This window comes from Homo sapiens, chromosome 1 (assembly GCF_000001405.40).
Source record: "Homo sapiens chromosome 1, GRCh38.p14 Primary Assembly".
Lineage (NCBI taxonomy): Eukaryota > Metazoa > Chordata > Mammalia > Primates > Hominidae > Homo > Homo sapiens.
The window spans coordinates 4,885,322-4,886,907 of record NC_000001.11 but is presented as its reverse complement, the minus strand read 5'-3'; positions in this window follow the sequence as shown (position 1 = coordinate 4,886,907).

Below are 1,586 nucleotides of genomic sequence, written 5' to 3'. Positions count from 1 at the left end.
ACCATTCAACCCAGCAACCCCATTACTGGGTATACATCTAAAGGAATATAAATCATTCTATCATAAAGACCCATGCATGCCAATGTTCATGACAGCCCTATTCACAATAGCAAAGACATGGAATCAACCTCAATGCCCATCAATGGTAGATAGGGTAAAGAAAATGTGGCATATGTACCCCATGGAATACTACGCAGCCGTTAAAAAAATTGAGATCGTGTTCTTTACAGGAACACAAATAGAGCTGGAAGCCATTATCCTTAGCAAACTAATGTAGAAACAAAAAAAACGAATACTGTGTGTTCTTACTTATAAGTGGGAGCTAAATGATGAGAACACATGGACACATAGAGGGGAACAACACACTCTGGGGTCTATCGGAGGGTGGAGGGTGGGAGGAGGGAGAGGATCAGGAAAAATAACTAATGGGTACTAGGCTTAATACCTGGGTGACAAAATAATCTGTACAACAAACCCCCATGACACAAGTCTACCTATGTAACTAACCTGCAGATGTACCCCTGAACTTAAAAATTAAAAAAAGATAACCCCTTAAAAATATTTGTTATGAACCTCAATAATCCCTGATCAATTTTTTGCTGATTTTTCAATCCCAGAGGTTACTGCTTTCTAATTTTTAGCTGTTTCTTTTGGTATTTACCTTCGTGTTTATGAATAACATTTCTTTTATTTTTCATCGGTATTTCTTTTTTTTTTTATTATTTTACTTTAAGTTTTGGGATACATATGCAGGATGTGCAGGTTTCTTACATTTCTTACTAGCACAAAGCCCAAAGAATTTTATTAGAACATAAAACACTCTAAAGTAGGTAGAAAAATATGCCCTTTTGCATTGGAATAGAAGCTCACACTTGGCATTGCTTCAATATTCAATTATTTCAGGTTGACATTCTTAGCGTTATTTGCTTGGCTTGGAGGAGGTATGTCCTCTTCAGTGCAGGCCTCTTTGGTTACTGCTATTTCATATGGAGCTCTGGCACTTAGGCTTCATCAGACTCAGTCAATGCTGGTTGATAAGGTTGCCCATTTGCCCCTCTCTTCACAAAACTACTTCTACTCCATCCAGGACTAAAGAGAATAAATTAGAAAACCACTTCCTAAGTCCTTTTCTTTCCAAATTAAGGGTAAAAAGAGAATTATCAGAATTTGGTTGACACATTTCCTTTCCCTAGAACTAATTTTGTGAAGTTGGAGCCAGCAAAGCTGAAGTTTCCTTTCTTTCCAGAGCTACATACATATTTCTAAATTTTATACCATAAATCATTGCATTTCTACCTGTTGATGTTTCCACTTCAGTTACTTCTTCTTCTTTTTTTTTTTTGAGACAGAGTCTCACTCTATCGCCCAGGCTGGAGTGCAATGGTGCGAACTCATTTCACTGCAACCTCTGCCTTCCAGGTTCAAGTGATTCTCCTGCCTCAGCCTCCTAAGTAGCTGGGATTACAGGTGCATGCAACCATGTTCGTCTATTTTTTGTATTTGTAGTAGAGACAGGGTTTCACCATGTCAGGCTGGTCTCGAACTCCTGACCTCGTGATCCGCCTGCCTTGGCCTCCCAAAGTGTT